The 13,299-nt window shown below is 45.1% G+C and overlaps 1 annotated feature.

Moving 5' to 3' along the window:
- Positions 6,288–6,788: an enhancer, noted in NCBI's record as "H3K27ac hESC enhancer chr20:46057414-46057914 (GRCh37/hg19 assembly coordinates)". NCBI's record gives its function as "activates a minimal SCP1, AML or CMV promoter by ChIP-STARR-seq in naive H9 embryonic stem cells {active_cell/tissue: H9 hESC(naive)}" and the evidence as "EXISTENCE:reporter gene assay evidence [ECO:0000049][PMID:30033119]".

Raw genomic sequence — 13,299 nt, 5'->3', positions numbered from 1 at the left:
ACAAAAATTAGCTGGGCTTGGTGGTGCATGCCTGTAGTCCCAGCTACTCGGGAGGCTGAGGCAGGAGAATTGCTTGAACCTGGGAGGCAGAGGTTGCAGTAAGCCAAGATGGTGCCACTGCACTCCAGCCTGGGTAACAGATCGAGACTCCATCCCAAAAAAAAGAAAAGAAAGAAGAAAAATTTGCCTTTTTGAAACCAACCCAAGCAACAAAGTGAGATGTCATCTCTATTAAAAGCAAACAAACAAACAAAAACGGAACTAAAAACCATTTGTGCTCACTGGCCCTGCAAAGAAAAAGTATGTGGTAGGGAAATAAATTTGCTTACCTTTTCACATTTTTATTTTGTTTTCTGAATGGGTAATAATTTCAGCTTGGTTCAGAATTCAAAAAGCACAAAGGAAAATATCTTCCCCACTGAGACACTGAGCCACCCAGTTTCCTATCCCAGAAATAAGTAATGGGTCCACTTTCTTATGGATACTTCCAGACATTGCCTGTGAATATACAAATAATTCTTTATATAAATTTATATATTTTTTTCTGACAAATCCATACTGTTCTGAATCTTGCTTTCTTCACTTAATCTTGGAAGTCACTGTGGAGCAGAACATAGCCACCTCACTAATTTTTCAGCTCATAATATTCCATTGAATAGATCAGGGATCAGCAAACAGGCTCATGGGCCAAATCTGGCCATTGCCTGTTTTTTGTAAATAAAGTTTTATTGGAACACAACCATGCCCATTCACTTATATATGATGTATGATATATGACTACATTTTTTTTTTAAGACGGAGTCTCGCTCTGTCGCCCAGGCTAGAGTGCAATGGTGCGATCTCAGCTCACTGCAACCTCTGCCTCCCAGGTTGAAGCAACTCTTCTGCCTCAGCCTTCCGAGTAGCTGGGATTACAGGTGTCCAGTACCACACCGGCTAATTTTTGTATTTTTGGTAGAGACGAGGTTTCACTATGTTGGCCAGGCTGGTCTCGGACTCCTGACCTCAGGTGATTCACCCGCCTCAGCCTCCCAAAGTGCTGAGATTACAGACGTGATCCACAGTGCCCAGCCTGTATGACTACTTTTGAGCTACAACTGCAGAGTTGAGTCATTGCACCAGAGCCCTCTGGGTCTGCAAACCTAGAGTACTTACTCTCTGGCCCATTATGTAAAAAGTTTGCTGACTCCAAGTATAGATGTTCTTCAGTGTACTCAAACATCGCTTGACAATGAACAGTTAGTGTTCATTCCAAATGTCTGTGGTTACAGAGAGTGCTGTGATACATAACGTGTCCATGTGCAATTGTCCACGTATGCAACTTTCTCCAATGTCAGAAAATCCTAGAAGCAGAATTGCTGGGTCAAAAGATATGTGCATTTGTAATTTTGATAGAAATTGTCAAGTAATTTCTAGAGATTATATCAGTTTACATTCACTCCCACCAGCAGCAAATAAAAGCAATCAATTTCCCAACACATTTTCTAACTTAGTCTGTTATCAGGCTTTTTGATCTTTGTCTAAGTGGCGGGTTAAAAATGGCATGTCAGTATAATTTTAATTTTCATTTATTTTATTGTGAATATATTTGTATCGTAGGGCTGCAATGACAAATTACCAAAAACTTAGTAGCTTTAAACAACCAAAACATGTTCTTTCACAGTTCCAGAGACTAGAAGCTCAAAATCAAGGTGTCAGCGGGGCTGGACTCCCTTCTAAACCTCTAGGGAAGATTCCTTCCTTGCCACCTGTACCTTCTAGAGGTTGCCAGCAATTTTTGTTTTTCCCTGGCTTGTAGATGCATTACTCCATGCTCTGCCTACATCTTCACCTGCCTTCTCCCCTTGTATGTCCATGTCTCTGTGTCCAAATTTTTCTCCTTTTTCCTTTTTTTTAAAAATGTTTTTTATTTTTTTTCTGTTTTGAGACTGAGTCTCACTCTTGTCTCCCAGGCTGGAGTGCAATGGCACAATGTTGGCTCACTGCAACCTCCGCCTCCCGGGTTCAAGCGATTCTCCTACCTCAACCTCCGGAGTAGCTGGGATTACAGGTGCACGCCACCACACCTGGCTAATTTTTGTATTTTTAGCAGAGACAGGGTTTCACCGTGTTGGCCAGGCTGGTTTCGAACTCCTGACCTCAGGTGATCCATCCGCCGCTGCCTCCTGAAGTGCTGGGATTACAGGTGTGAGCCACCGTGCCCAGCCTAAATTTTAAAATACTAGACATCAGTATGACGTACTACTCAGCCTTTGATTTCACTTGCTTATTAAGTATATTTACACTATTTATGACACCAACCTTTTCTCTTTTTCTCTCTTCCTTCCTTTTTTCTTCCTTCTTTCTTTCCTTTTCTCTTTCCTCCCTCCCTCCCTTCTTCCCTTCCTTCCTCACTCTCTCTCCCCCTCACTCCCTCTTCTCTTTCTCTTCTTCCTCTTTTTTTTTTTTTTTTATGCTCCACTTCCTCAACATTCTTCCCTTACCCCAAGTTGCCGTTTCAGATCAGGAAGATTAAGAGGCCATAGATAACCTTTCTTAACTTTTCTGTGAATTATTCTTTTTTGTTTTTTCTTTTTTCTTTTTTGAGACAGAGTCTTGCTCTGTCGCGCAGGCTGGAGTGCAGTGGAGCGATTTCGGCTCACTGCGGCCTCCGTCTCTAGGTTCCAACAATTCTCCTGACTCAATCTCCTGAGTAGCTGGAACAACAGGCACGCGTCACCATGCCCGGCTAACTTTTGTACTATTAGTAGAGACGGGGTTTCGCCACATTGGCCAGGCTGGTCTTGAGCTCCTGACCTCACGTGATCCACCCACCTTGGCTTCCCAAAGTGCTGGAATTACAGGCGTGACTCACCGCACCCTGCACTTTTCTGTGAATTATTCTACTGCAAGCTCAACTTGATCAGATCCTGTTCATCAGTAGAGAAGCAAAAACTAACCAATACAAAACACACATCAGGGTTTCTTAGCACAAAGATGAGTGACAGAGGTAATTCCAGCTCTCTCAACAATCCTTCAATAAAGAGATACTATACAGAAAGTGTTTAAACCACAGCTTTAAATAAACAGTGAGTAATTGATCAACTCTCCCACTGTTTTTATGCAATACATGATGGCTAAAAAAATTAGAGTGTTTCTTGAATAACTGGAAGTTGAATAATGTACTTATGTGTTGCAAGAGTTTCCAGTTTCAATGCAAGAAAATATACCATAAATTGGCCGGACGCGGTGGCTCACGCCTGTAATCCCAGCACTTTAGGAGGCTGAGGCGGGCAGATCACGAGGTCAGGAGATCGAGACCATCCTGTCTAACATGGTGAAACCCCATCTCTACTAAAAATACAGAAAACTTAGCTGGGCGTGGTGGTGGGCACCTGTAGTCCCAGCTGCTCAGGCGGCTGAGGCAGGAGAATGGTGTGAACCCAGGAGGCGGAGCTTGCAGTGAGCCAAGATTGCGCCACTGCACTCCAGCCTGGGTGACAGAGTGAGACTCCGTCTCAAAAAAAAAAGAAAATATACCATAAATCCATAATTACATTTTCCTTTTAAGATACAATACACAGGGCTAGGTATGGTGGCTCACCCCTCTAATCTCAATGCTTTGGGAGGCTGAAGTGGGAGGATCACCTGAGGGCAGGAGTTTGAAACCAGCCTGGGCAAGCTGGGCACCATGGCTCATGCCTGGAATCCCAGCACTTTGGGAGGCCAAGGCAGGTGGATCACGAGGTCAGGAGATTGAGACCAGCCTAGCTAACACGGTGAAACTCCGTCTCTACTAAAAATAAACAAAAAATTAGCCAGGCGTGGTGGCAGGTGCCTGTAGTCCCAGCTACTTGGGAGGCTGAGGCAGGAGAATGGTGTGAACCCAGGAGGTGGAGCTTGCAATGAGCTGAGATAGCGCCACTGCACTCCAGCCTGGGTGACAGAGCAAGACTCCATCTCAGGAGAAAAAAAAAAAAAAGAAAGAAACCAGCCTGGGCAACATAGTGAGACTCCAATATGTACAAAAAATTAAAAAATTAGCCAAGCGTGGTGGTGCCTGTCTATAGTCCCAGTTACTCAGCAGGCTGAGGTGAAAGGAGTATCACCTGAGCCCAGGAGTTCAAGGTTACAGTGAGCTATGACTATGCTGCTAGTCATAGTAGCATATGGAGACCCTGTCTCTTAAAAAAAAAAAAAAAAGATACAATGATACATTTTCAACATTTACACACAGTTCCATAACTTGAACCTGGTTGACACTGACCAGCTTAAGCCGACCAGTTTAAGATGAAGACCAGCCAATTGTTTTACATTCCATTATTTTTTGATGTGTTGGGAGGGAGAGAGGGAGACAGGCTTTCAAGATCTTCCTCATAAATGCATTCAGTTGAATAAATGTGCTCTGAGTTAGAGCCGCACCTTCTGAAAATGAAGAGCGGTCATGCAGGCTGGAGTGGCTCTGCCATTTACTAGCTGTGTGACTTTGAGTAAGTTACTTAGCTTCTCTGTGACTCAGATTTCTCACCAGTAAGTGGGTGAAATAACAATATCTGCCTATTGATAACTTGATATATAATGTTATTTTATATGTTATAAATATGTATGTATATATATAACAGTAAATATAGTAAAGTACAATGCAGTATACATACACCTATACAGTATATATACATACAGTAATATAATATTAATATTATGTTACTATTAACTATTAATTATAAAATACATTATATGTATTATATATTAATATAGTATATATTTAATAATACATAAATATATATATAAGTATGTAGTGTTTGGTATATAGCAATAGCTCGATTAATGTTTATTATTCTTTTATATTTTTATTGATTTTTTTTTTTGAGACGGACTCTCGCTCTGTCGCCAAGCTGGAGTGCAGTGGCGCGATCTCAGCTCACTGCAACCTCCGCCTCCCGGGTTCAAGCGATTCTCCTGCCTCAGCCTCCTGAGCAGCTGGGACTACAGGCACCTGCCATCACGCCCGGCTAATTTTTGTATTTTTAGTAGAGACAGGGTTTCACCATGTTGGCCAGAATGGTCTCGATCTCTTGACCTCGTGATTTGCTCACCTTGGCCTCCCAAAGTGCTGGGATTACAGGCGTGAGCCACCGCGCCCAGCCTTTATTTTTATTTATTAACAGGACAGCGTCTCGCTATGTTGCCCGGGATGGTCTTGAACTCCTGGGCTCAAGCAATCCTCTGGTCTCGGCCTTCTAAAGTCCTGGGATTACAGGCGTGAGCCACCTCACCCAGCCTAATGTTTATTATTATTATTGGCATAGCAAGAGTTCTCACACCAGACCACAGCATTCTAACCTCCATAACTGTCCCATGATGTTAGAAATGGACCATCATACCGAGAAATGACCTTGTCCCAGCCACATACTTGTATGGGCCCATTATCTCACATCCATACTTTTATCAAAAAACAAAAACAAAAAATGCAGAGGTGGGAGGATTTCTTGAGCCCAGGAGTTCCAGACTAGCCTGGGCTATAGTGAGACTGCCATCTCTACAAAAAACAAATACACAAAAAAGTTTTCTGGCCAGGCACAGTGGTTCACACCTGTAATTCCGGCATTTTGGGAGACCAAGATGGGAGGTTCGCTTGAGCCCAAGAGTTTGAGACCAGCCTGGACAACATAGCAAGACCTTGTCTCTATAAAAAACAAAAAAAATTTTTTAAGTTTTTTGAGCACAAAGGACTTTATGCAATCATATTAGATACTTGTAGTTGAAAAGTCTATGTGTTTGAACTTGCTGGCTGTCAACCAGTTGAGAGGGTGCAGACAAGCACAACTACAAGATATATTGCTTAAGAACAACAAAGGAAGAGGGCTGAAGTTCATGCCACTGGGTTGCACATTCTATGAATTTTTCTTCTGTTTCTTCTATTATAGAAATACACATGGGGTAGGCAAGGGGGTTGAAAAGTCCTCTAGAGATCAAGGATAGTTGCGCACCGGGTGCAGTGGCTCCTCCTGCAATGCCAGCACTTTGGGAGGCCAAGGCGGGCAACATCTCTATTAAAAATACAAAAATTAGTAGGAAATGGTGGCGGGCACCTGTAGTCCCAGCTACTCAGGAGGTTGAGTCAGGAGAATCACTTGAACACAGGAGGCAGAGATTGCAGTGAGCCGAGATCATGCCACTGCACTCCAGCCTGGGTAACAGAGCGAGACTCTGTCTCAAAAAAAAAGAAAAAGATAGCTGTGGTCAGCAGAGCCCAAGAATAAGGCCTTGAAGCGCAATGCTTGTGAGCACCAATTGTGGAGTGAGGAGAAAGGTCACAGTCTTAGCTCCACATCCAGCCTGCTGTGGGACCTTTGAAAAGCCACTTAACCCCCCTAAGCCTTCGTCTTGGTCTTGGGTCAGTGGCCCCAAGGAACAGTCTCTGGGAGGGAGATTTGCACCAGAATATTTATTGGAGAATGCTCTGGAAAACAACACCTATGATGGGGAGAGGGAAGGAGGATTGGGTAAAGAGAGGAATTTATGATGCAATCTCAACAAAGCCTGAGATGGCCCTCAGAGATACTCCAAACTGAGGTCAGGGGGCTGGGCCTTTGTGCTGCTGTATTAACCAGGCACTGGGTACATCAGTGGTTCTTAATGCAGGGAGGGGGAGAATTTTGCCTCCCAGAGGATATTTGGTGATGTTCAGAGATATTTTTGGTTATTTTAATAGGAGAAGGGGTCCAGCCTGGCCAACATGGTGAAACCCACCTCTACTAAAAATACAAAAATTAGCTGGGCATGGTGGTGCGCGCCTGTAATCCCAGCTACTTCGGAGGCTGTGGCAGGAGAATTGAATTGCTTGAACTCTGGAGGCAGAGGTTGCAGTGAGCCGAGATCATGCCACTGCCCTCCGGCCTGGGGCACAGAGCAAGACTCTCTCAAAAAAAAAAAAAAAAAAAGAGGGGGCTGCTAGCATCTAGTGGATAGAGGCCAGGAATGCTGCCACGTGTCCTACAGGGCACAGGACACTTCCCCCAACCCCTGCTACAAAGCATGATGTCAACAGTGCAGAGGCTTCTCAAGGAGAAAGGCTGTTGAACAAGGCAGCTTCCTTCAGCTCAGGGCAATTTCTGAAGAGGGACTCATCAGAATGTGAGGGAGTAGCAGCTAACACTCCTGGCAGCTAGGGGAATACCTGCTGTGTCCTGCAGAGGGAAGGGAAGGTGGACGGTGGATCACAGCATCCCTGTCTTTTTTTTTTTTTAATCAGGCAGCCTCCCAGACCAAAATAGTTTCAGAGAGACTCCTCCCCGCCACATCATTGTTTTTTCAGCCCTTTTTAAATTATGCAAATAATACTTGAATCCTATCTCCTTATAAAAGTTAAAATGATCCAGATCAGGGTTCTCAATTTCAGCACCATTGCCATTTTAGGCTGGATAATTCTTTGTTGCGGGGGCTGTGCTAAGCATTGTGGACTATTTTGCAGTATCCCCGGCCTTGACCCACTGGATGCTAGTAGCACCCTCCCCCATCTCAACCATTTGTGATAACCCAAAATATCTCCAGACATTGCCCAATATCCCTAGAGAGCAGAATCAACTACTTCGGGCGCATTGCCTGTGGGGTAGCCCTGCTCTGCAAAAAGCAGAAGGAAGAAAAAAAAAAAAAGGGCAGAATCACCCCTGGCTGAGAATCATTCCAGGTAAATCTGAAGTAGCCTTCAACTACAGTTCCCAATCTCAGGCCCTTCCCCTGAAGTAACCACTGTCATAGGTTTTAGGTAGATTCTTCCAAAAAAAAATTTTTTTTTTCCGAGACAGGATCTTGCTCGGTCACCCAGGCTGGAGAGCAGTGATGTGATCTCTGCTCACTGCAACCTCCACGTCCCAGGTTTTAGCGATCCTCCCACCTCAGTCTCCCAAGTAGCTGGGGCTACAGGTGCTTGTCACTACACCCAGGTAATTTAAAAAAAAATTTTTTTGGAGAGATGAGATCTCACTATGTTGCCCAGGCTGGTGTTGAACTCATGGGCTCAAGCCATCCTTCTGCCTGGGCCTCCCAAAGCACTGGGATTACAGGTGTGAACCACTGTGCCCAGCCTCCAAAATTCTTAGTATGCATTTACATAGGTACATAACTGCCCAGTGGGTTCTCCTTCCCCACTGCCCAGATAGAGCCAATTTATTAAAACAGGAGAATTGCAATAGAGAAAGAGCTTAATATGCCTAGAGTTGGCTAAGCAAGAGACTGGAGTTTTATTATTACTCAAATCAACCACCCCCGAAATTTGAAGGCTAGGGTTATTCAAGGATAGGAGGCAGGAGGCTAGGGAATGGGTGCTGCCGACTGGTTGGGGATGCAATCACAGGGCTGTGGAAAACAGTCCTTGTGCACTGAGTCTGCTTCTGGGTAAGGGCCACAGAGGAGTTGCTGATCCAAGTGGAGTTACCTAGTAGTCAGAAATGCAAAAATCTGAAAAGATATCTTGGAAGGCCAATCTTAGGTTTTTGGTTTTTTTTGTTTGTTTTTTTGGTTTCTTTGGTTTTGTTTTTTGTTTGTTTGTTTGTTTGTTTTGAGACAGGGTCTCACTCTGTCACCCAGGCTGGAGTGCAGTGGTTGATCATGGCTCACTGCAGCCTCTACCACCCAGGCACAAGCAGTCCTCCTGCCTCAGCCTCCCAGGTAGCTGGGACCACAGGCATGCACCACCATGACTGCTATTTTTGTTTTGTTTTGTTTTCTGTAGAAACGGGGTCTCCCTATGTTGCCCAGGCTGTCTTGAACTCCTGGACTCAAGCAATTCTGCCTTGGCACACAAAGTGCTGGGAGTACTGGTATGAGCCACCGTGCCTGGCCCCAATCTTAAGTTTTATAATAGTGATGTTATTTACAGGACTAACTGGGGAAGTTGTGACTTCCAGAACAATGGCTGGTAATTATTTAACTATGCCTACATTTTAGCAGAATTCAGACCCCTCTTATAATCTTAAACTTGTGGCCTTTTATTAGTTTTATAAAGCAGCTTAGTTTAGGGAAGAGCCATTATCCTTTAAACTATGAACTAAATTTCTCCCAATGTTAGCTCACTCCACACTCAAGAGTGACCAAGGGCAGTTTGGAGTTTAAAAACAAGATGGGGGCCAGGCGTGTGGCTCACACCTGTAATCCCAGCACTTTGGGAGGCCGAGGCAGGTGGATCACAAGGTCAGGAGTTTGATACCAGCCTGACCAACATGGTGAAACCTCATGTCTACTAAAAATACAAAAATTAGCCGGATGTGGTGGTGCACACCTGTAATCCCAGTTACTCAGAAGGCTGAGGCAGGAGAATTGCCTGAACCCGGGAGGCAGAGGGTGCAGTGAGCAGAGATTGCGCCACTGCACTCCAGCCTGGGTGGCAGAGTGAGACTCCCTCTCAAAAAAAAAAAAAACAAAAAAAAACAAGATGGGGTCAGGGCACAGTGGCTCACACCTGTAATCCCAGCACTTTGGGAGGCTGAGGCAGGCAGATCAGCTGAGGTCAGGCATTCAAGACCAGCCTGGCCAACATGGTAAAACCCTGTCTCTACTAAAAACACAAAAATTTCAAAAAAAAAAAAAAAAAACAAGCCGGGCGCGGTGGCTCACTCCTGGAATTCCAGTACTTTGGGAGGCCGAGGAGGGTGGATCACGAGGTCAGGAGATCAAGACCATCATGGCTAACACAGTGAAAACCCATCTCTACTAAAAATACAAAAAAATTAGCTGGGCATGGTGGTGGGCGCCTGTAATCCCAGCTACTTGGGAGGCTGAGGCAGGAGAATGGCGTGAACCCAAGAGGCAGAGCTTGCAGTGAGCCAAGATCGTGCCACTGCACTCCAGCCTGGACGACAGAGCGAGACTCCATCTCAAAAACAACAACAACAAAAAACTTGTGATTGTCTTTCTTTTTTTTGAGATGGAATCTTGCTCTGTCACCCAGGCTGGAGTACAGTGGCGCTATCTTGGCTCACCTAAACCTCTGCCTCCTGGGTTCAAGCGATTCTCCTGCCTCAGCCTCCCGAGTAGCTGGGACTGCAGGCGCGTGCCACTATGCCTGGCTAGTTTTTGTATTTTTAGTAGATACTGGGTTTTGCCATGTTGGCCAAGCTGGTCTCAAACTCCTGACCTCATGTGACCCAACCGTCTTGGCCTCCCAAAGTGCTGGGATTACAGACGTGAGCCACCGCACCTGCTTTTTTTTTTTTTTTTTTTTTTTTTTTTTTTGAGACTGGGTCTCCCTGTGTCATCCAGGCTGGAGTGCGGTGGCGTGATTATAGCTCACTGCAGCCTCAAACTCCTGGGTTCAAGCAATCCTTCCAAGTCGTTGGGACTACAGGTGCATGCCACCACACCCAGCTTGTTCACTCTTATAGACACTGAGGATGCAGAAGTGAACAATACCAAACTTCTACACAAGGAGGTGTTTTTTTTTTTTTGAGACGGAGTCACTCTGTAGCCCAGGCTGGAGTGCAGTGGTGGGATCTTGGCTCACTGCAACCTCCGCCTCCCGGATTAAAGTGATTCTCCTGCCTCGGCCTCTGAAGTAGCTGGGATTACAGGCACGCACTACCACGCCCAGCTAATTTTTGTAGTTTTAGTAGAGACAGGGTTTCACCATGTTAACCAGGCTGGTCTTGAACTCCTGATCTGAAGTGATCCACCTGCCTCAGCCTCCCAAAATGCTGGGATTACAGGTGTGAGCCACCAGGCCTGGCCATACACAGAGAGCTTTAATTCTTGTGCAGTAGATAACATAAATAAAATAAAAAAGAAAATTATAAAACATAATTTTGGCCGGGCGCGGTGGCTCACGCCTGTAATCCCAGCACTTTGGGAGACCGAGGCGGGCAGATCACGAGGTCAGGAGTTTGAGACCAGCTTGGCCAATATGGTGAAACTCTGTCTCTACTAAAAATACAAAAATTAGCCAAGCGTGGTGGCATGCGCCTATAGTCCCAGCTACTTGGGAGGCTGAGGCAGGAGAATCGCTTGAACCTGGGAGGCAGAGGTTGCAGTGAGCTGAGATCACCCCACTGCACTCCAGCCTGGGTGACACAGCAAGACTCCGTCTCAAAAAAAACCAAACAACAAAAAAAAGCCCATAATTTTATAAAATAATATAATGTCATATAACATACTAACATAACAATGTATACTACATGATAATGCAACTATTAAGTCTGTGGGCAAAATTATTGGCTTTTGCCAGTCATGGTTTTCTGGACCCAAATCTCTTGCTGCTTGAAGGCCCCCTTTTTTTTTTTTTTTTTTGAGACAGAGTCTCACTCTGTTACCAGGCTGGAGTGCAGTGGTGCGATCTCGGCTCACTCCAACCTCTACCTCCCGGGTCCAAGCGATTCTCCTGCCTCAGACTCCCAAGTAACTGGGACTACAGGCATGTGACACCACACCTGGCTAATTTTTGTACTTTTGGTAGAGACAGGGTTTTACCATGTTGACCAGGCTGGTCTTGAACTCCTGACCTCAGGTGATCCCCCGACCTCAGCGTCCCAAAGTGCTGGGATTACAGGTGTGAGCCACCATGCCAGGCCTGAAGGCCCTATTTTCTAGGATGAATTCAGTTGAGAAATCTGAGTATAAGTAGCTCTGCTTACAAGAAGAAGATCAAACACCCAGTTGCTTAGAGCAGCCTTCGGGTTATGTTTCAGGATGTGACTGCAGGTTAAAAGCTCCGGGGAAGGTGAGGTTTCCATGTCAGGCCATTAGCACTTGTTAGCACTCTCCCTTTTTATGAAAGTGGCCAGGGAATGGCTTACTAATTCCCTCTTTCATTAAGTCTGATCATCACCATTAATTAACATGGCCACTATGGAAATGTAATTGGAGCATTTCAGAATCAAAGACGGATTGAAACAAGTTTAAGGAAAGCTTTCAGCCTGGAAGACTTAATGGCTGAGAATGCACAGCCTTTACTCTAAGATGACAAGAAAATGTTAATTCTAGGAGGGAACCGGTTTGGAAGTGCAGAAGGTTAAGCCAGGACTCGCCATTCTGTTATGTTGAAAGGTATCAACTTATGTGTAGGTCTGTTGCTTACTGCTTGTAATATATTACATTTTCTCCAGGCTATTTAGCTCTTGACATTTAAAAATAGTTTGGTTTGCTCTTTTGCCTGGAAAACAATTGTGCCATCCGATCGAATTTTTTATATGTGTTTCAGAACCTGTTCCTCCCTTCTCCCCATCAATACCATCAATACCACCCATGGTATTATTCAGGCCTTAATTCTTGTTGGAATTTTAAGTGTCGTAATAAGCAACATCCTTTTCTATCACCTGAATTCAGAATAGTTTGAAAGACAAATGCTTGTCTCAGAGTGAGAACAAATGATCACCATTATCCCCAACAATGCTGGCTGGCGAATATGGCTTTTGGTGTGTGGACAAGCGAGCTTGCAAGCATTCCACCCCAAATGTGACTCACCTTGTTCATCATTTAGGGTACTGCCAGGGTCATGGACAGATAAGCTCCAAATCTTGATGGTTTGATGCAATCATTTAGTTCTTCTCCTATAAATTTCACAATAGGAGTTCCTGATCAATGGAGTTCCTCCTCCACCAGGTACAGATTCGGGGATCCATGTTCCTGAACCCCTATCTTGTGGCTCCACTGTCCTTAACACTTGGTTTCCAAGAATGCTCATCTGTACCAAAGCAGAAAGTGTGTGAGCCAGCAGGAACTCTGGAAAGAGAGTGTTCTGGGCAGACAGAGGGAAGTACAGGTGCAAAGGGAACGTGTGCAAGCCACAGGGAGACAGTGTGGGTGGGGTAGCAAGTGACTAGGAGGGTGGGAGGAGGGTTTTAGAAGGATAAGACAGAAATGGTCCCTGACTTCTCTAGAGGCAAGATATTGACACTGAACTAACAAAAGGTGTGAAATGCACCAAATGGGGACCCAGAGGAAAGCGTGGCTCTATTTAAAAGAGGCAGTCACAGCCGGGCACGGTGGCTCACGCCTGTAATCCCAGCACTTTGGGAGGCGAGGTGGGTGGATCACGAGGCTAGGAGTTCAAGGCCAGCCTGGCCGATATGGTGAAACCCTGTCTCTACTGAAAATACAAAAATTAGCTGGGCGTGGTGGCACGCACCTGTAGTCCCAGCTGCTCAGGAGGCTGAGGCAGGAGAATTGCTTGAACCCGGGAGGTGGAGGTTGCAGTGAGCCGAGATTGTGCCACTGCACTCCAGCCTGGGAGACAGAGCGAGACTCTGTCTCAAAACAAACAAACAAACAAACAAACAAATAAATAAATAAATAAATAAAAGAGGCAGTCACTTCTCAGTTCAACCAAGAGTT

Source organism: Homo sapiens, chromosome 20 (assembly GCF_000001405.40).
Source record: "Homo sapiens chromosome 20, GRCh38.p14 Primary Assembly".
Taxonomy (NCBI): Eukaryota; Metazoa; Chordata; class Mammalia; order Primates; family Hominidae; genus Homo; species Homo sapiens.
Note: the sequence above shows the minus strand (reverse complement) of the source record. Positions and strands in the feature narration are given on the sequence as shown.